Genomic DNA, 22,518 nt, shown 5'->3' with positions numbered 1-22,518 from the left:
CTTTAACCTGAAGTACCTGCTCAGCTAGAAACCGAATTCAAGGTAAATTCAATTGGTCCTGAGGACAGGACTGCTAGTGTCCCTTGCTGGGTTGACCGTAGGACAATGAGACACTGGGAGATGTCTGTTTTTTGGTGTGTTGGTGTGGTGTGTTCCTCTTCTTTCTAGAAGAGTGTTTTGTTTTGTTTTTTTGCAGGGGAAGGTGATTTAGACACTGCGTATTCATGATCCACAGAAAAATAAAAAAACATGGAGCCCCAGAGCCCAAGCAGAGCCAAACAGACAAGCAACCAAAATAAAAGGTGAGGGACTCAAATAAAGAGGATTGAAGTGTGTTAGCCACACTCTTTTAAGCAGACTCCATTTGCAGGCACACAGACACAAACACACAATGCCACACACACACACACACACACAGAAATCCTACACTCACAACACTCCCAAAGGAACACAGAACCTGACAGCTTCTGAGGCTGCATGTTTCTGCAGGAAGCCCTACCTGGGAGAGAGCAATCCCAGGGAACACAGGTGGGTTTTACCTAAAAATATCAGAGGGGCAAGTTTCAAAAAGACTCACCCCTAAAACATCTAGACAGGCCTGAGGAATCCTGCAGATGCTTTTGGATCCTTAGGGATTTTGCAGTTTATTCCTAGGGCTCTGCTTGACATTTCTTCAGGCTCGCTCACATCTGCCATCTCATAGGATCATGAGATTATTCTGTGGATCCCACAGAGAAGACAGGCAAAGAGTGCACCACCAACGCACCTCCACAGAGGTCTCCTCTGGAGTCCAAAATCAGGAATGGTTCCCTGAGCTTAGCTCATGAACATTCGTGAGGCAGGCTCTGGTGCCCAGATGTCAGAGCTCTCAGCCTGACTAAGCAGAGGAAAATGATACAGGCAGAGACGCCTTGGTATCAGGAAAAATGATGCCTATGAAAACCCACTGTGAGACTCTAAAAGTCTCAACCTCAGGGCCCCTTTGGGTCATCTCCATAGTTGGGTCCCACTGGAGGAGGAGGCACTTCAGGACTGTGAGGTGGTCGCTGGAAACTACTCTTCTGGCTCTATTCCTGAAAGAGGCTGTGCATAAGAATTAGGTCCCATGGAGATTGGAATAGAATCTGTTGTGTTGTTGGGGTTCTTTGGGTGATAGAATTATACCTGAAAGCCCAGAGGTGAGCATCAGTGAGAGATGCCCGAGCTTGACCTCATGGCCTCCCTTCACCCTAGGCCTCACAGGGGCCCTCTGGAAAAGTCAGGAACCATGACCGAGGAAAGCCCAAGGTGGAGCAGTTGTCTCACACCTCAGACTGGTCTCTTCTTGGTGCAGATGATGTTGACACAGTGTCTCAGAGGCCATCTGTGGTGATAGTAAGCCTGAAAATTGTGTCCAGCAGTGCTGTTAAGGGGCATTGTGGGTTTTCCATGAAAGCAAGAAAAAAACAAGGCTTGCCTGAGGAAACGAGCTGCCTTGTGCTGGAGTCCAAGCAATGTTCAGTGATTTCTGTCAGGGGACCCAAAATCCTACTGTAAAGTTCAAGCAACTTCAGCCCCCAAAATGTGACCATAGACCAAAATGTGGAGCACAGTAAGCCTATTCGAAGTCCCTTTTGCTCTCTGAAACCCTGATAAGCTATACAATCTGTAGTGAGAGGCAGTCCCATCCAGCAACAGCTCAATGAATGAGCCCCTCCACAGTGAGAGAGCCATGCAGATTTAATGAAACAGAGCCTCGATTGCCCGGTAAAATGTACACACAGCTGCCTTCTTCTCCTCCTACAGGAATCATGCAGGCCTCTGATAGAAGTGGTAGAATAAGAGTTTCCTTGTTGGTGGCTGAAATGGGAATTTATTGTTTTAAAGTATCAAAACTGTCCAGTCATTAAAACGTGACAGTGTTTGGAAGAAAACGCTCATGCAGTGGATTCCACTGAGGGTCATTCACCAGCAACAGGCAAACGTTTAGTGTGGAAGTCATTTAGCCAGACCCAGGAAACCCTAGGCTGACCAGGAACATGGAAGTCAGGAAAAGAAGGGGGAAGTATGGAGGCCACATCCCACCCAGCATCAATCCATTCCACTGCCATTTGGCTCTAGGTATGAAAGCCCTTAAATCAGGAGTTTGCCAGGATGGTGTCAATTTGCACTCCACATGTTCCTTGCACGTAGGAGTTCTGCCACCTGAACTCCTGGCTATGTTGTGGACTGCTTGTGCAATTAAGGGAATGCGGGCATAGAATTGGAAACACCTTCTGTGTCATCTGTCTTTATCTTTTTGCAGGTGAAGTTGCGGGACCCCTTCCCCTTGTCACCAGATTATATCCTCACCTTTATCTGACCTTATTTCTGCTCATATTCTATGTCCCAGGATGAAATCCCAAAACGAGGGAGGAGTGTCCCCTCACAATGTATAGCGCCTGATCAGCTGGGAACTGAATTTGACGTAAATATAGGGGCCCTGAGGACTAGACTGCTAGTTTCTCTACCTGGGTTGGCTGCAGGAAAATGAAACATCGGGAAATGTCTGTTTTTTTGGTATGGTGTGCTCCTCTTCTTTCTAGAAGAGTGGCTTTTATTGTACGGGGAGATACCTTGGTTGCCGGCAGGCTTGGCCCGCCTCCAAAATCACTGAGGATTCATGATTCACAGAAAAATAAATAACACAAGCCTGACAGCCCAAAAGAGCCACAGAGACAGGCCACCAAAAGGTTAATATACTAAAAAAATAAAAAAACACTGAAGTGCTTTAGCCACATTCCTTTAAGCAGACTCCACTTAACGGCACACACACACACAGATACACAAACACACAATAACACACACACAGGCAGACATCCAACATTTGCAACACTCCCACAAAAACACATAGCCTGTCAGCTCCTCAGGCTGCAGGATTATGCAGGAAGCCCCATCTGAGACAAAGTAACTCCAAGGAAAAGAGATGGGCTGTACCTAAAAATCACAGTTAAGACAAGTTCCAAAAAGACACCCTTCCAACATCTAGACAGCATGCAGATGTTTTTTGATCCTTAGGGATTTGGCAGCTTATTCCTGGGGCTCTTCTTGATGTTTCTTCAGGCTGGCTCACATCCTCCCTATCCTAGGATTATGGGACTATCCTGTGGATCTCACAGAGTAGACAGGTGAGAGACCTCAGCCGACGAACCTCCATGGAGGTCTCCTCCTTGGGAGTCTTCTCCACAAAGCCGCGGGGACTTGTCGCTAGGCAACAGTGACATTCACTGTGACTCTAGACAGAGTTCACACTCAGGACTGGTGCCCTGAGACTAGCTTATGTGGATTCCTGAGACAGGCTTATGTGTCCTGCTGTAACAGCATTCAGCCTGCCTAAGCAGAGGAAAATGGTACAGTCGGAGCTGGCCTGGTATCAAGAAAAAGGCTGCCTGTGAAGACCCATGGCAGGACAATAAAAGCCTCGACCTCAGGGCTCATTTGGACCATCTCTGTGGTTGTGTCCTGATGGAGGATGAGGTGTTTCAAGACTCTGAGGTGGTCACTGAAAACTGCCCTTTGAAATCCATTCCCAAAAGAGAATGTGTGTCTGCAAGAATCGGGTCCCATGGTGATTGGCATATAGTCTGTCTGGTGTGTTGTTGATGGTTCTTTGGGTCATAGCATCATACCTGAGACCCCAGAGGCATTTTTTAGCAAAGATGTCTGGGCTCTTGACCTCACTACCTCCATCATCCTATGCCTAGCAGGGGCTCTCTGAGAAAGGCAGGAACCATGAAAAAGGCAAGTCAAAGTTTGAACCATATTCTCACACCTTGGACTGACCTCTTATGGGTGAAGATGAGGTAGAGACCATGTCTCAGAGGTCATCTTTGATGATGGCAAGCCTGAAAATGATGTCCAGTAGAGCTGTTGAAGGACACTGTGGATTTCCCATAAAAGCAAAGAAAAATCAATGCTCACCTGACAGAATGAGCTGCACTGAGCTGGAGTTTAAGCAATGTTCAATGCTTCTTGTCAGAGAACCCAAAAGCCTCCTGCAAATTGCAAACAACTTCAGCCCCCACCTGAGACAACAGATCGAAACTTGGAGTGCAGCCAGACTCCTCAAAGTCCCTTTTGCTCTTTGAAATCCTGGGAAGCAAAATAATCTTTGGTGAGAGGCAGTCCCATCCAGCCACAGCCCAATGAAAGAATACCTGCTCAATAAGATGACCATGCAGATGAAAAAAATCAGAGGCTAGACTACCAGGCAAAAGCCAGACAGGGCTGACTGCTTCTCACCCTACAGGAATCATGCAGAATGCCAATAGAAGTGAAAAAAAACAAGAGTTTCCTTGTTGGTGGCTATTTATGGTTTTAAAAGTATCAAAGCTGCCCAGTCATTAAATTGTGAAAGTGTTTAGAAGGAAACACTCATGCAATGGGTTCCCATTAGGGTCATTCTCTGTGAACTGAGAAACATGTATTGTGGAAGTCATTGAGCCAGACATAGGAAACCCTACACTGACAAGAAACATGGACATCAGAGAAAGAAGGGGCAAGTGTGGAGGCCACTTCCCATCTACCATCAAACCATTTCATTCCCATTTTGCTCCCAGTATGAAAGCCTGCAAATTGAGAGTTTGCCAGGATGACCCCAGTTTGCTCCCCAAATATTTCTTGCACATTGGAATACTTTCACCTGAACACTGGGCCATGGTGTGGACTGCTTGTGCAATTAAGGGAATGTTGGGATGGAGTTGGAAGTACCTTCTGTGTCATCTGTCTTTATTTTTTTGCAGTTGAAGTTGTGGGATCTCATCCAATTCCCACCAGATTGTATCCTCACCCCTGTCTGACCTTATTGTTGCTCACACTCTATGTCCCAAAATGAAAACCCAAGACGATGGAGTATTGCCCCCTTATGATGTGAACCAACTGCTTGGCTGGGACCTGAATTTGAGGTAAATTCAAGGGCCCTATGGACAGGACTGCTAGTGTATCTCCCTGCATTGTTTGCAGGACAATGAAACACTCAGAGATGACTGTTTTTTCATGTGGTGTGCTCCCCTTTTTTCTAAGAGTGGCTTTCTTTTGGAGTGGGAGATGAGTTTGACACTGGTGGGTCTCAGCCTGCCTCCCAATTCACTGGGGATTTATGATCCACAGAAAACTAAAGAACATGGAGCCCCACAGCCCAAGCAGTGCTGTACAGACAGGCCACCAAAAAGTTGGGAGACTCAAAAAAAAGAAGTGCTAAAATGTGTTAGCCACATTCCTTTAAGAATACTCCACTTATATTCTAACATGCACACACACAGACACACACACACGCAGACATCCAACACTCTCAATACTTTCACAGAAACACACAGGCTGGCAGCTCCTGAGGCTGTGTGGTTCTGCAGGAAGCCGCATTTGGGAAAGAGCAACCTCAGGGAACACAGCCAGTATACCTGGATATCACAGTAGAGCAATTTCAAAAAGACTCAACCCTACAAAGTCTAAACAGGTTTGAGGAATTCTGCAGATTGTTTTGTATTCTCATGGATTTCACAGTTTATTCCTAGGGCTCTGTTTGATGTTACTTCTGGCTGGCTCATGTCTGCCCTCTCCTGGGATCACGGGACTATCCCATGGATCCAACAGAGAAGACAGGTGAGAGTCCACTGCTGACACACCTCCACGGAGGTCTCTTTATCTGCCAAGCTGCAGGGACTTGTCGCTAGGCAAAGGTGGCATTCATTGTGAAGCTAGCCAGAGCTCACAATAAGGCCTGGTGCCCTGAGACTAGTGCATGCACATTAATGAGGCAGGCTTGGGCGTTGGCTCTCAGACCCGTCAGCCTGCCTAAGCAGAGGAAAATGGCAGAGGCAGAGTCAGTCTGGTATCAGGAAATAAGCTGCCTGTGAAACCCATTGCAGGACCCTAAAAGTCTCAACTTTGGGGGTTATTCAAGCCATCTCCATGGTTGTGTTCCACTGGAGGAGGAGGCATTTCAAGACCATGAAGTGGTCATGGAAACTGCTCTTCTGAGTCCGTTCCCAAAGGAGGCTGTGTGAAAGAATTGGGTCCCATAGGGATTGATATAAGTCTGGTGTGTTCTGGAGGGGTTTTTTGGGTGATAGCAGCAGATCTGAGATCCCAGAGGTGGGTGTCAGCAAAAGATGACCAGGCTCTTGACCTCTCTGCCTCCCTTCATCTGGGGCCTTGCATAGGCTCTCTGGGAAAGGCAGGAAGCAAGACAAGGCAAGTATAAGATCAACACTGTTCTCATACCTCGAACTTGCCCCTCATGGGTGCATATGAGGATGTGACACCATCTCAGAGGCTGTCTGTGGTGACGGCAAGCCTAAAAATGGTGTCCAGTAGTGCTGTTGAGGAGCACTGTGAATTCTCCATGAAAGCAAAGAAAAATCAAAGCTCACCTGAAACAACGAGATGCCTTTTGCCAGAGTCCAAGCAATGTTCAATGATTCCTGTCTGAGGACCCCAAAGACTCCTGCAAAGTGCAAACAACTTCAGCTCCCACAACATACAACAATCCACAATCTGGAGTGCAGCCATGTGACCCAAAGTCCCTTCTGCTCTCTGATATCTCTGGCAGCTAAATAATTGGTGGGAAGAGGCATTCCTATCCAGCAACAGAGCAATGCAAGAGCCCCTCCACTATGAGAAGGCTATGCAGATGAAATGAAACAGAGGCTAGTTTACCAGGCAAAAGCCAGACACAGCTGCAAGCTTCTCATCCTACAGGAATCTTGCAGCATTCCGACAGAAGTGGGAGAATAGGTGTTTCCTTGTTTGCTGCTGTAACAGGAATTAATGGTTGTTAAAGTACCAGAGCTGCCCAGTCAATAAAAATTGAGAATTTTTAGAAGAAAACGTTCATGCTATGGATTCCCATGAGGGTCATTCTCATGAACTGAGAAACATTTAGTGCGGAAGTCATTGAGCCAGACACAGGAAACCCTAGGCTGGAGAGAAACATGGAAGTCAGAAAAAGAAGAGGCAAGTGTAGAGGCCACATCCTACCCAGCACCAATCCATTCCACTCCCATTTGGCTCTGGGTATGAAAGTTCTCACATTGGGAGTTTGCCAGAATGGCCCCAATTTGCACTCCAAATATTCTTTGCACGTTGAAATACTCCCACCTGAATTCTGGGCCATAGTGTGGACTGCTTTTGAAATTAAGGGAATGTTGGGATGGAGTTAGAAGCACCTTTTGTGTCATCTGTCTTTATTTATTTATTTATTTATTTGCAGGTGAAGTTGCTGGAACCCATTCTCCATTCAGCAGATTGTATCCTCACCCCATGTGACCTTATTGCTGCTCAGACTCTATGTTCCAGGATAAAATCCCAAGAAGATGGAGAAGTGCATCCCTCATGATGTGAAGCATGTGCGCAGCTGGGAACCAAATTCGAGGTTAATCCAAGTGGCCTTGCAGACAGATCTGCTAGTGTCTCTCCCTGCGTTGTCCTCAAGATGAAGGAAACACTGAGAGATACCTGGTTTTTGGTGTGGTGTGCTCGTCTTCTAGAAGAGTGGTTTTTTTCTGCAGGGGGAGTTGATTTTGGATGCTAGCAGGTCTTGGCCCACCTCCAAATTCACTGGGGATTCAGGATCTACAGAAAAATAACACGGAACCATGCAGCCCAAGCATAGCCACACACACAGGCCACCAAAAGTTAGTGAGGCTAAAAACAAGAAGCACTGAAGTGTGTTAGCCCTATTCCTTTAAGCAGACCCCACTTACAGGCACACACACACACACAAAATGCCACACACACTCGACGTCAAACACTCGCAACACACCCACGGAAACACACAGCATGGCAGATCCCGAGGTTGCATGGTTCTGCAGGAGGCCCCACCTGAGAGACAGCAACCCCAGGGAACACAGGCAGGCTGTACCTAGAAATCACATTGGCGTAAGTTTCAAAACCCATACAACCTCTAGGGTGGCCTGAGGAATTCTGCAGATCCTTTTGGATCCTTAGAGATTTTGCAGTTTATTTGTGGGGCTGTGGTTGATGTTTCTTCAGGCTGACTCCCATAAGCCCTCTGATCATGGTTGATATTTCTTCAAGGCTGGCTCACATCTGCCTTCTCATAGGATCATGGGACTATCCTGTGGATCCCACAGAAAAGACAGGGGAGAGTCCACCGCCAATGCACCTCCGAGCAGGTCTCTTTCTCTGCCAAGCCGCAGGAACTTGTTGCTAGGCAACAGTGACATTATAAGGCTAGCCAGAACTCACCATCAGGCCTGGTGCCCTGAAACTAGCACATGCACATTCTTGGGGCAGGTTCAAGCACCCAGCTGTCAGAGATGTCAGCCTGCCTAGGCAGAAGAAAATGCACAGGCAAAGCTGGCCTCATATCGGGAAAATGGCTACCTGTGAAAACCCACTGTGAGACCCTAAACATCTCGACCTTAGGGACCCATGGGCAGCCTCCATGGTCTCGTCCCGCTGGAGGAGTACACATTTCAATACTGTTAGGTAGTGGCTGGAAACAGCTCTTCTGACTCTATTCCTGAAAGAGAATGTGTGTGCAAGGATCAGATCCCACGGGGATCAGGATATAGTCTGTTGTGTTGTTCAGTGTTCTTTGGATGATAGAATCATATCTAAGACCCCAGAGGCAGCTGTCAGCAAAAGATGGCCAGGCCGTTAATCTCACTGCCTCCCTTCATCCTGGGCCTCACAGGGGCTCTCTCAGATAAGCAAGAACCACAAGAAAGGCAAGTCCACGTTGGAGACATGTTCTCACACTTTGAACTGGCCTCTCATGGGTGCCGATGAGGTTGAGACAGTGTCTCAGAGGCTGTCTGTGGCAATTCCTTATACCCAGAGAGAAAAAAATCACTTGACAGAATTGTTGGGAAACCAGCCCCACACTGCCCAGCAGGTGCCCCGAGTCCAGCGAAGACAAAGGAATTAGAAAAAGACAGAATGAGAGTTTAAAAGGCAGGTCCAGGGGACCAGAGAATTGGAGTCTTGTTCATGGCCTGGAGCTCTCAGCCACCACCCAATTTATTGGTTTTCAAGCTTTTTGTTCATAGGGCAGATAGGAGGAGTAGAAAGGGATGAGGGGAAGGATTAATCAGTGAAGGAGAACTCGTGAGTCATTCAATAGGATGTATAGCAGTGGCGGTTTCTGTGAATTTCCTTGGGCAAAGGTGTGTGTCTAAACTACTTAATGTATTTAACTTATCGGGACTGAAATGGGTGGGACTAGGTTTCAGGAGAAGCCAAGACATTTGATTAGACTCCACTGCTTCAAGGGAGTGTTATTTCCCTGAGCAAGCTGCGGCATGCCGCTGAGCTGTTATGCTCTCCAGGCATAAGGGCATGAAGGCAGTAAGGAGACTTTTCTCCTCAGACGCCATCCATGGCTCCCCATGGGAGTCTCACACAGGGCAGACCAACTCATCTGGCATCCCAGAAACTCTCTTTTCCATATGTCCCACTTTTTTGTCCCCATTTTTTTTAAATTAATAACCACCATTGCTATCATAGCTCATTCACGGTGTCTGTCTTCTCTCCCAAGGTGCTGTCCGCAACTGTAGACTAAAAAAAAAAAAAAAAAAAAAAAAAAAAAGCAGAAACAGACACAAACCAAAATAATATTTGCAGTTGATGATCCACCTATGGTTTTAATTCACTTTAAAGGATTATTGTTAAAAAGGCCATCAGTGGCTCCAGCAAGAATATCAGCTCCAGGCAACAAGCTGGGATGAGCCTGAGATGCTGCAAAAAGTTGTTTTTTCCGTTTAGCAGGATCTAATGTTAAATTATCTTCTCCTGGTAGGCGATGTCTAATCAACTCCCAGTGGTGTTCAGTGGTATTATAAGAGCTAGGAGGAAACAAAAATCAGAAGTATTCCAATCACTTTGCATTTAAATTCTCTGCTCCAAGCTCATAATCTGACCACCCATTCAAATTACTGTTTGATGAAGATCATTAATTTGATTTGCCAATTTTTGATCTATTTGGCTTTGGGAATTCCAAAGCTTGGAAAAATTTTTCTGTCAACTATCCACAGAGCTCACAGTTTGAATAGAAGAATCCAAAGCTACAACAGCAGCAGCAGCTATAGCTGTGACCGCTATGAGGCCCGTGATGACAGCTATTAAGGTAAATATGAATCTCTTTGATCTATTAAGTATTTCTTTTAGTACTGCAGTGATAATATATATGGAGGAAGAGGCGTCCCAAGGTCTATTGAGGGAAACAGGTATCCAAACTCCTTCTCAGGCCCTAACCAGTAAAGTGCTGTTATCTTTATTAAAGGTAGAATTAATGCAGGTAAAAATATGACAGCTGAGGCATGATATGGTTTGAGAGTCAAGTAGGATATTAACTTTTCCTGCTGCTAACATAAAAGGAGGTTTAACACAACTCTGCAATGGGACTGTCTGATTAGAGATCATGGCTACAACAAATCAAAGATTTTCACTATGAGTCTCTGTTTTATATTCTCCTTTCCAAATCCCAACTGGGGTTTGAGCCATCATTAATTTCCACAATTCTGGATGTTCTGGTCTTGTAATTGGATCAATCATTTTTGGCCTTGGAGGAGCCATACCATTCTCCTCCCACTTAATAGGGCAGTTTGTTTCAATTCTTCTATATAATTTTAGTGCGTTATCTGGGAAGTCTTTTGCAAAGGAGTCTCTCCAAAATCTTTGCTGTGTCCGGTACAATTTATGGCAAAGTGACCTCTAGAGACCCAATCAGTGATGATTCCAATGGAATTATTTTGCAATACTGCAGCGCTGTTTGCAATACAATCTTCCCAGGTTAGCACCTCTAGATTTTCATTTAGTGGCCTGCCTGGGGCAGGACTTCAATAAGAAGGTTTAAGTTTATTAATCTGATGATGTGTCATAACATAGCCATGCTCAAGGTATTTAATAGTGTCCAAAGATTGAAATGTTCTTCCACTGATTACATGAATAGAGGCCTTTCATCCATTATGTTCAGGGACATAAACCATCCAACGTTGTTTATCATAATTTAAACATCCTGCTGCTGGCCCCAGGCAGATGGGAGGAAAGTGATAACCAATGGAAACTTTCATTAACATTCCTTCCTCCTCTGGATGAGTAGGACCTTGGTTATCTATTGGTCCAGGCATCCAGACACTATCATTAACATAACCTCCACTGGGGCATCTAAACTTATAACAGGCCTAATCAGTGGTGGGAATGCAATGTAGGTCCAGTAAGTGTAATTTTGATCTGCCCCTCTGCAGGGAGACTCACCACCAAGGGGATTACCACCATCGTAGCTACCATTAGATTACTGGTGGTCAGCAGCTTGTGCTGAGACCGCAGGTTCTCTTCTTCAGTGCGAGCTAGTCTCTTCATCCGCCCCCAGGTCGGTGGAGTTGCTTGGTAAGTTTTACTGGTTTCCATCTGCTCAACAGAGATGTTCATCTGAGCCATCTGATGAACTGGGGGTGTAGGGACTTTCTGAGGTCTTTTCCTCTTCCTTGAATTCTGGCTCCTGGCACAGCTTAAGATGTCTTGTGGGTACCCAGACAAGAAGTTGATTCTCTCCTGGTGAGATACAAGCAAATCCTCAATCCCAACAAGACCCACTGGGGCCTTTTGTTTGGGCCAGTTTTTGGGCCATTGATAAACGCTGTGATTGACACATCTGCTCCTGTGTCGACAAGAGCCTCAAATTGTTTTCCTTTAATAGTGACCTACAAATAGGACTATTGTCAGAGACTTGATTTACCCAATAGGCAGGCTTGCCTGCTGAATTTGTGCTTCTATATCCTCCTTTTATTCTGAGCTTTCTCCTATCTTAACATATGGTAAAAACAACAGTTGAGCTATTCTGTCACCTGGATTAGCACTCCAGGGAACAGTGGAGGAGATAACAATTTGAATTTCTCCCTGGCAATCAGAGCCCACTACCCCAGTATGTACTTGAATTCCCTTTAATTTTAAGCTGGACCTTCCAAGTATAAGTCCCACCATGTCCTTTGGCAATGGGCCGTAAACTCCCGTTGGGATCTTCCTGGGAGTCTCCCCAGGAAGGAGGGATACAGGTTCAGTACAGCATGTATTTACTGCCCCACTTTTATCTGTGGAGGGGGACAATTGCTCTGCATTTGTGCAGGGATAGACTGGGCTGGGAATACTCTGTTTGGGGTCAGGGATGACCCACCCTGAATTGGGAATGCCCTGTTTTGAATCAGGGCCTGGTCCTGAGTTTTGCCTTTTTTGGCTCTTTGTACACTCTCTTTTTGCATGTCCTATCTGTCCCCAATTATATCAAGATCCAGGGAACACTCATGTGTTTTTTGTTACCCTTAGTCCAGCCATTGCCTGAGAAAGGAGGTTGGCCTTATATAAGGGCTCCTCAATGCCATCACAGGCTGTAATATATTCACTTACAGTTTTTTCCTCATTTAGATCTGCCTTTACCTTAATAGATCTAATTTCTCCCTGACATTCTGTATTCATAGTTTCATAAGCAAGCAGCTGAATGATCACTTTCCTGGCACAAGAATTTGAAATAGTCTTTTGAGCAGCTTCTTGCAAATGGGGTGATAAAATCTGGATAAATCTTCCTTGGACCCTGTCAAACTGAGTTAAAAGAAGGATAAATAGTAACAGGGTCATGAATTTTTTTTCTGGTATCTTCAGTGTATAGTTCTGAGCTGATCAACAGACTCATCACCCATTACCATCTGTTGATTTACAGTACCCCATGCCTGCCCAATTCCAAGCAATTGATCAGATGTGATATTAATAGGAGGTTGGGCCTGAGCATTTCTCCCTGCCTGACTTGTTGCTTCATCTGTCCACCAGGTTTTAAATTGGAGAAATTGAGAGGGAGACAGGGTGGATCGAGCTAATGACTCCCAATCCATAGGTATTAAGGGCCTGTTATAAGCCACAAATTATAATGAAGAATGAACCTAAGAAAAATTTGGCCCATATTGTCCAATTGCTTGCTTAAAGTCTTTTTAATATTTTAAAAGGAAATGGCTCCCAGCAGGCCCGAGCATGTTCTCTGGGCTCCTCAGCTGGAGAAATAATTACCAGAAACTGCCAAGCATCCAAATCCCCCATTTCTTGTGCCTGTCAAATGGATGCCTGAATTGCCCCTGCACCATAATTTGTATTTGGACTGGCTCACAGCATTTCTCTCCCATAATTAACAGGTGGACAAGCCTGGATCATTCCCTCACCGTAATTGGCTGTTGGGCTGTTGAAGCTTCCCTTTACCATAGTCAATGGTAGGCCGTGAAACAATGGGAGTGGCAAGCCATGTCTCAGTCTCCCTTTCCAAAAATTCATAAGGCTGAGGTGGAGGTGGCTGTTCTGCACCTTCCTCTAAAGGCGCAGTAGGGGGAACTGTTTCTTTCATAAGTTTTTGGAGGTTAGTATGTACACCTTCCCATTTCTCCCCCTTTTTTAAACTAGACTGTGATGGTTGACTGTGCTGATTATCAGACTCCTGATTATTAAACTTTTTTATGTCACCCTGAAACTTCTCCTCCTCCTTCTCAGTGTGGAAGGGCTCCAGTGCTGTTTTAATTGCTGACCACACAGACCAAGTGGAGAAGGGACTATCGTGGCCCTCTTGTTGTGCTCCTTTTAAGTCTGGTCCGATCTTGTCCCAGTCTTTTACATTCATGGTTCTGTATTCCAGGAACCAAGGAGAATACTTTTCTATGAGATGGAAAAAAGATATGAGATTTTTGGTACTCATAATTACTCCTCTATGGCTCAATAACTGCTGCACCAGGCTTAAGTAATTAACAAACTTGTTTCCAGCCTGACCCATATTTTCCTGAGGTTGCCCTGGAATTCTCTGAGTGCCCCACTTACCTGTAGAGCGTGAAGGGAAAAGGTACTCGGACATCCTTTGTCAGTCATCCTGCACTTTCTACGCTCTGGTGTTCCCTCACTGGATGATTTGTAGAGATATAGGGAGCACTGTGTTGGGCACCAGATGTTGAGGAAACAAGCCCCACACCACTGGGCAGGTACCCTGTGTCCAGCAGAGACAATGGAATTAGAAAGAGGAAGATTGAGAGTTTAAAAAGCAGGTCCAGGGGACCAGAGAATTGGAGGCTTGCTCACGGACCCGAGCTCTCAACCTCCACCCAATTTATTGGTTTACAAGCTCTTTGTTCTTAGGTCAGATGGGAGAGGTAGGAAGGGATGAGGAAAATGATTAATCAGTGAAGCAGAACTCGTGAGTCATTCAATAAGATGTATAGCAGTGGTGGTTTCTGTGAATTTCCTCTTGCAAAGGCATGTGTCTAAACTATGTAAGATTTTTAACAGCCAGGAACAGTGGCTCACGCCTGTAATCCCAGCACTTTGGGAAGCAGAGGTGGGCAGATCATGAGATCAGGAGATCAAGACCACGGTGAAAACCTGTCTCTGATAAAAATACAAAAAATTAGCCAGGTGCAGTGGTGGGTGCCTGTAGTCCCAGCTACTCGGGATGCTGAGGCAGGAGAATGGTGTGAACATGGGAAGTGGAGCTTGTGGTGAGCCAAGATCACACCACTGCACTCCAGCCTGGGTGACAGAGAGAGACTCCATCACAAAAAAATAATAACAGAAATAATACAAATGACTTATCAGGACTGAAATGGGTGGGAGTGAGTTTCAGTAGAAGACAAGATGTTTGATTATACACCACTGCTTCAAGGGAGTGTTATTTCCCTGAGCAACCTGTAGCATGCCGCTGAGCTGTTATGCTCTTGAGCATAAAGACATGAAGGCAATAAGGAGACTTTTCTCCTCAGAGGCCACCCATGGCTCCCATGGGTGTCTCACACAGGGGAGAAGAACTCATCTGGCATCCCAGCAACTCTCTTTCCCACAGAGAAAGGAGTGAAACAAGCTGCCTTGTTCTGGAGTCCTAGCAATGTTCAATGATTTCTGTCAGAGAACCCAAAAGCCTCCTGCAAAGTGCAAACAACCTCAGCCCCCATAAGGAGACCAATACCCACAACCTGGGTTGCAGCCAGCCTACCCAAAGTCCCTTGTCCTTCCTGAAATCCCTGGAGGCCAATAAATCTGTGGTGAGAGGCAGCCCAACTCAGCAAAAGCCCAGTGAAAGACGCTTTCCACAATGAGGAAGGACATGGAGATGGAATGAAACAGAGTCTAGATTACCAGGCAAAAGCCAGAAATGGCTGCCTACTTCTCCACCTACAGGAATCATGCAGCCCTCTTGTAAAAGCTGGAGAGCAAGAGTCTCCTTGTTGGTGGCTGTAACAGGAACTTATGGTTTTAAAATTATCACAGATGCCCAGTCATTAAAACATGACACTGTTTAGAAGGAAACACTCATGCAATGGATTCTTTGAGAGTCACCTTCCATGAAGAGGGAAATGTTTAGTGAGGAAGACACTGAGCCAGACCCAGGAAACCCTAGGCTGATGAGGAACAGGTAAGTCAGAATATGAAGAGGCAAGTGTGGAGGTTACATCCTATATTGTATCAATCTCTCTCATTCCCATTTGGCTTCTGGTATGAAAGCTCTCATATGGGGGTTTGCCAGGATGGCCCCAATTGGCAATCCAAATCTCCAAATGTTCCTTGTACATTGGAATACTCCCATTGTAGCAGCATAAGCCATGGACAAAACCCTTCAGACACTGGCTTAAAGAAAGAAGTGACTTTATTCGGCTGGGAGCATCAGCCAGCTGTCTCAAAAACCAAGTTCCCCACAGAGAGATTTCTACCCTTTTTAAAGGCTTACAACTCTAAGAGGGTCCCTGTGAAGGGGTCATCATTGATTGAGCAAGCATGGGGTATGTTGCTGAGGCTGCATCTATTGGTAATCAGGATAGAAGAGAACAAAACAGTTTCACGATGCTTCCTCATACAGTGTCTGGAATCTATAGATAATACAAGCGGTTAGGTGAGGGGTTGATTTTTAACTGCCAGTCCTGGAGTGCCGTGCATGTTCTGCCTGGCAATTGAATTCATCTCTGCCTTTCTTTAGTTTTTGATTCCTTTTTCTTTTTTTAAGGTATGAGACAATAAGAGAGGTGGTCTCCCTCCTTATTCCCCGCTCTGAGAATCTCACTTATTAGTGGGAGTTCTCACTCTCATCCTCCCTTCCTAGGTCTTCCTGCAAGACAGATCTATAGTAGTTCACGTAATATACAGGTGCTGAAGCATTTTGGGGGACCATGGCAGTAACAAAGCTCGCATTATTTGAAGGAGTATGAGTAGCAAGCAGGGGAGAAATAAGCATGTTCCTATTACTATTTTTCTTCCTACTATAAAAATTTTAAATTTTCCTATCACTGGAAACCATTTTCCAAATATTGATCCAGGATCAAACCAATGTCAATTGATATTTTTCATTCTTTTTCCAGGTAGCCAAAATGATGGCACATGTGCAAGGTGTGTCCTATCTCTGACTATATTTTTGACCACTTGCTCTTGATGATCTATATGCAGACAGCAATTGGTTAGGTTCAATTTTCCACAGACCCCTTCTTCAGCTGCTAGCAAGTAGTCGAGGGCTAATCTATTTTGATAGACAGCATTTCTCATCTGGGTTTCCTGCCAGGCTAAAAGACTCAAAGCTTTGCCAGTTTTATTAGTGATTATTTCTAAGACAGTTTGTAACCATATGATTTGGTTAAGCATGTAAATGGGGTTTCAGTATCCCCATGAGCCATCTTGTGCCCAAGTGGCAGGCCCATAGTATTGTATGATCCTTTTAGGGAGCCACTCAATATATTTCAATTTGCCTATAGCTATGCTCCTCTTTTCTCAGGAAGCATAGACTTGGAAGTCCAGGATTTCATGTGTTTTCATGGGCAGTTAGAAAAAGGATGGTTTAATGGTGCCAATAACACAACTACCTGCCCATTGTTCAGGTAACATCGTGTAGGGTCTATGCCCAGATATCCAGCATAGTCCAGCATGGGCTGTCCAGTCCCACTGAGACTCTGTGTGGGTCCAGATGGTTTGCAACTTTGGAAATTTATGAAACAGATTTTTATCACTGTGGTTTGAACCCCACCATGTGGCTGTTTTTACTGTGCTGTTATACAGTTTTGCCCAAGGCAGGTGAAGCTTTCCACAGGGAGGATGATGTTGTTTCCTTCTATAGCTATGCAATACTGCCCAATAATTGAGGTTCTTAAGACCCAGAAGTTGCCAGTGTGGGTCTTCTGGATGGTAATCATATCGGGAATTGGATCAGTAGGCACTAATTCTTGGGCTTCTTAAGGCCATTTGTCTCCCATAGTGGTTCCCTCACATACATAAAAGGAAGAAACATTGAGGGAATGGACTACATTTTCTGCTAACTGCAGGAAAAAATTCTTTGTCTTCCCTGGGAACTCTGGTATGGGCACATTTAATTCATCACAGAAGGTCTGAAACCCTGGTTTGTGAGAATACATTTTGACCTCTTGTCTGACTGAAATATTTACTGAAGGATCCTGTCCAGCTACATGGATCCCAAGAGTTACATGTTTTCCCTATTTCCAATGGGGGGTCTAGGGGACTGGTGATTATTGGTTCTAAGGTGTTACTGTGGCTGCTTGTGCAAGAGGAATCACCCTTTCCTTTCTGAAGCCATACTGGATATTTTTCATTATTTTTCCAGGTAGCCAAAATGACACAGGACCAGTAATTACATGCTTTATCACATTGGCCTAACTCATGGCAAATATACTCAAATATACTTATTCTCTGCTGGATAACTTTTTTCTCAGTCAAGACAGCCACATCCTTATCATTAATGGTTAATATTAATGGTGACACAAGCATCAGAATTTAAGATTTTGTGTTTGGGGATTCATTTTTCTTCTGTTTTAGCTATTATTTTACTTGTAACACTTAGAAAAGGGAGAGTTCTTAATCTTATTTCAAAGACTGTGTTCATAAGAGATTCAGATGTGTTATAGCACATCTGAGTGAAGTTATACAGGCAATTTTCTTTTAAAGTTCCTAGGCATTCAAAATATCTATAAACCGAAAGATTGTTTTAACTTGTTTCCATACCTCAGTAACATGATGAATACACAGGGAACAGTCCTCCATTTTGGGAACATGACAGTGTTTAGAAGGAAACACTCATGCAATGGATTCTTTGAGGATCCTCTTCCATGAACTGGGAAACGTGTAGTGTGGAAGACATCCACAGTAAGCATTGTATAATCAGTCTTTATTATACAAGTCCAAATTTTAAGGAGAGTAAGTCCCACGATGAGTTTTCTCATGATTCAATCATGTGTAGACCAATCAGCTTAAAAGTGTGACTGGAGCAGGGCTTGTCGTCTTTCTGAGCGTCACTTTGCAGTGGTTGTCTGGCCTTTGTCTTACCTCCCAGGTCTCAGGCACTGCAGGTGTTACACGACGGTGATGGATCCAGGATGGGATTCCTTCTACCTTCACCAGGTGGGAGTGGTCAAAATGACAGTCTGGGGTCCCTTACACCATGGATGTAGGGGGCTGCATTCCAGTCCTTGATCCACATGTGATCACCTGGGGGAGAAGTTGTGAACTGGGGAGAATAAACTAATAGGACCCCTTTCATTTTCCCAGCCTGAAATTGTTTGTGTAATTTTTCCTAGAGCTTGTAGCTGTTGCTGTAACTTAACTTCACCTAACTATCGAAGAGTGCCTGGGAGTCCCTATAATATGGGAGTGGGTCTATGATATAATATTTCATAAGGGGAATATCCTGTTCTTTTAGAAGGAGTACATCTTATCTTAAAGAATACCATACGGAGAGTCTGTAACCATTTCAATCCTGTTTCTGGAAACACTTTCCCTCAGCTATTTATAACAGTTTGATTAATTCGCTCCACCTTTCTGGAACTCTGAGGTCAGTAGGTTGCATGTGGTTTCCACGTGATCCCCAATACCTTTGCTGTCTTCTGCACCAAGTCAGTCATAAACACTGTCCACTTATCTGAACCAATTCGTAGGGGCAGTCCAAATCTAGGAATAAGATCTCAAAGAAGAACACATGTTACTTCACAAGGTTTTTCAGTTTGTGTTGGATAAGCCTCTACCAGCTCAGAGTATGTACACACAAGAACTAGTAAATATGTGTTACCTCCACAATTTGGCATCTCTGTGAAGTTCACCTGGAAATCGTCAAAGGGGGCTCCTCCATAAACTTCTATGCTGGGCAGAATTGCTCCACCCTCCCTCACATTTTGTTGTCAGCATATAATACATCACCATGCCACCGTTTTGGAAAGGGCTGACAAATATGATATGTAGAAGTACCAGCCTAACAACTTTTTAAGTGATTCCTGAACTAGAGGGGTAGGTTCATGCACAGCCAGTACAATTGTGCCTCCTAGCAGCTGTGGCATGGCTATTCTTCTGTCTGGTAACTGGATCCATCCCTCTTTTGCTGTTTGCTCTCCTGCCTGAAAGAAGTCTTTCTCTTCTTTACAACAAGTAGGTACAAGGTCAGGTGCCTGAGGAAGCAGGGGGGTTGAGACCAATGCCTGGTAGGGGTGGAGGCTGCTTTTTGAGCCTCTGAGTCAGCTCTGGAGTTCCCTAAAGCAACCATGGTAGAAGCTTGCTGGTGTCCCCTGAAATGCATGACTGACACATTTTGGGGTTTCCATACTGCTTCTAATAATTACAAGATTTATTGCTGATGATTTCTGTCCTTTCCTCCAGAGATTAACAGCCCCTTTTCTTTATATAATGCTCCATGTACTTGGAGGGTTGAGAAAACATACCAAGAGTCAGTGTAAATGTTTTTAGTCTTACCTTCACTGAGTTTTCACACCCAAATTAAAGCAGTGATCTTGGCTTTCTGGGCTGAAGTACTCTGTGGCAATAGTTTGGCCTCAATGACAGTGTCCAGGGTTACCACTCCATATCCTGCATACCTCACTCCTTGTGGGTTGACAAAGCTGCTCCCACCCACATATACCTCCCAGTCCACTGATGCCCACGTCAGGCTTGCTAAAGTAAGCTGAGTTCAACACCTCTACACAGTTATGCTCAACAGGGCTTTCTTATACAGGGAGCAAGGTGGCAAAATTCAGGTTGTTACAAACTTCATTGATTGTGTGGGGATTTTCACAGAGAAAGCTTTGTACTTGCTTAGTCTAGCATTCATTAGCCAATGATATCCTTTGGTATTCAGTAAAGTCACCACAGCATGTGGGGCCTTTATGTTCATGTTTTGCCCAAGAGTTAGTTTATCTGCTTCTTGTGCTTTCAGGGCAGTTGCTGCTAATACCCTCAAACAAGAGGACCAACCTTTAGAAACCCTGTCTAGTTTTTTAGAGAGGTAGGCCACTGGCCTCAGCCAGGACCCCACATTCTGGGTCAAAACCCCAACTGCCATTTTTTCTCTCCCTGACACATATGGTGTAAATGGCTTTGTCAGATCAGGCAGAACCAGGGCTGGAGCTGACATGAGTTTCTCTTTTAACTCATAAAAGGCTTGCTCTTGTTGGGACCCCCATTCAAAAGCTTCCTGGTCTTCCCCTTTTTAGACCCATACAGAAGCTTCACTAGTACTGCAAAGTTTGCAATCCACAGTCTGCACAACCCCCACAGCTCCTAAGAATTTTCTCACTTGCCTTCTGGTCTTAGGCTCCAATAGGCTGCAGATGACTTGCTTTCTTTCTGACCCCAAGCTGTGTTCCCCCTGTTGGATATTCAATCCCAGGTAGCTTACCTGCTGTCTTCAGATTTGAGCTTTCTTCTTTGATACCTTATATCCACACTTCTGCAGCTACTGAAGGAGGGCCTCTGTCCCTCTGGCACACCCAACTGCCATGGGGTGAGCATGCAGAAGATCATCCACGTACTGGAGCAAAACGCAGCATAGGTCTTTGGTGGGGAACTTTTGGAGGTCTCAAGCCAGCACCTCTCCTGAAGATGGTGGGTGAGTGCTTAAACCCTTGGAGAAGCAGGATTCAAGTGTACTGAGTGGTGACACCTAACCCCGGATCTTTCTTCCCACTGGAAGGCAAACAGTTTCTGGCTCTCAGGAGATAGTCTGATGCTAAATAAGGTGTCCTTCAGGTCTAGGCAAGTGAACCACCTGTCCTCAGCTGACAATAACCCAACAATGTGTATGGGTTAGGTACTGTTGGATGTAAAGTCACTGTAGTGTGACTGACCAAGCACAAGTCCTGTACTTGCCTGTAGTCCTCAGTCCCTGGCTTAGGAACAGGCAGGAGGGGAGTGTTCCATGGCGACTGACAAGGGACTATAATTCCAAAGGCTCTGAGGCATTTGAGATGAACCTGGCTACCTTCAATAACTTGTCTGGGGACTGGGCACTGTCTTTGCCTGACCAGCTGGACCCCCAAAATTAACTTCTATGAGTATGGTGGCTTGGTTGACTGCCAGTCCTAGAGGTTTATCTTCTGCCCACACCCTGGGCTACCACTTAGCCAGAGCTGGTCCTATCTCTTTGCCTGACTTAGTTAAGAAAAGTCTCCATTCCTCCTCCCAGTGTACCATAAGGGCCATAATGAATAGTGATTCATGCCCCCCTACAGTACAAGTCTGGGGCAAGCAGAAAACTTGTTTTTCTGAGACTCCTGTGGCTCTGAATATATCAATAGTCTTTTTGGATAAAGGGGTGATCGGGGTGGTTACTACTGAATGTTCTGCACCAGTATTGACAAGAAACTCAATGTCTTTTCCCCTGACTCTCATACTGACCATGGGCTCATAGGGAGCACCTGAGCCCAGTTCCCCTCAGTCCAGTAACTCTTCTGCCAAATTAAACAAGGCCACTTCATCCTTGCTTGAGACCTCTGGCTCAGAGTCATTTTGTTTCTCTTTTAACTGGGGGCACTTGTCTTTCCAATGCCCTATTTCTTTACAGTATGCACACTGGTTATGTTGCAGGTGTGGTTGGTCAAACTGGGTGTTTTTTTTTTTTCAGGGCCTCCCCTTCCTTGGCCCTTTGGGTGGACCCCTCTAATAGCTGTGACTAGGAGATCAGCCTTTCACCTGGCTTGGTGCTTGCTTTCTTTGCAGCTTTCTCTATGGCCTGCTGCATCTCTATTCACAAACCCTGATTGGCTATTTCCAATAACAGGGATGTGTTTATGCCCTCAAACCTAGCCTGTTTCTGAAGTTTTCTTATAATGTCTCCTGTGCTTTGATGACCTAAAGCCGTGTTAATCATGCATTGATTTTCAGGGCTTTCAAGATCAAAGGGTGTATACATACAATAGGCCTCAAAGTCTTTCATGAAATTGTGCTGGACTCCCTTCTTTTCCTTGAATGACCTCAGACACTTTTTTAACATTTCTGGCCTTCTGAGCTCCCTTCTTTAACCCTTCCAGGATGCCAGGGGCATAGTTGGTGCCATTTCCTGCCATGAGTCTTCTCATATTGGGTCAGACAGAACTTTAGGAGCCGACTTCCTTTGGCGGGTGGAGTGGGATCCTTCATTGGCTATCTGTCCCATTGCCACTAGCACTGCTGCTGCTGCTGCCTGTCCTCTTAACCACTGTGCAGGGGGTCTAAAACCAGCTATAACCAAGTGTCTATGTATGGGAACTGATCTGGGTGCCCTGGTTTACAGAT

At 45.2% G+C, this 22,518-nt stretch overlaps 1 long non-coding RNA gene across 1 annotated transcript; it reads left to right on the top strand.

Moving 5' to 3' along the window:
- The first annotated feature begins 221 nt into the window (after positions 1-221).
- TTTY13 (testis expressed transcript, Y-linked 13) lies at positions 222-11,288 on the top strand. The gene is made up of 6 exons (NR_001537.1): positions 222-302; positions 4,761-4,922; positions 5,518-5,616; positions 7,226-7,387; positions 10,014-10,105; positions 11,226-11,288. It is a non-coding gene; the product is annotated as a testis expressed transcript, Y-linked 13 (long non-coding RNA).
- The last annotated feature ends 11,230 nt before the right edge of the window (positions 11,289-22,518 follow it).

This window comes from Homo sapiens, chromosome Y (genome assembly GCF_000001405.40).
Source record: "Homo sapiens chromosome Y, GRCh38.p14 Primary Assembly".
Lineage (NCBI taxonomy): Eukaryota > Metazoa > Chordata > Mammalia > Primates > Hominidae > Homo > Homo sapiens.
This window is presented reverse-complemented; position numbering and strand designations above follow the sequence as displayed.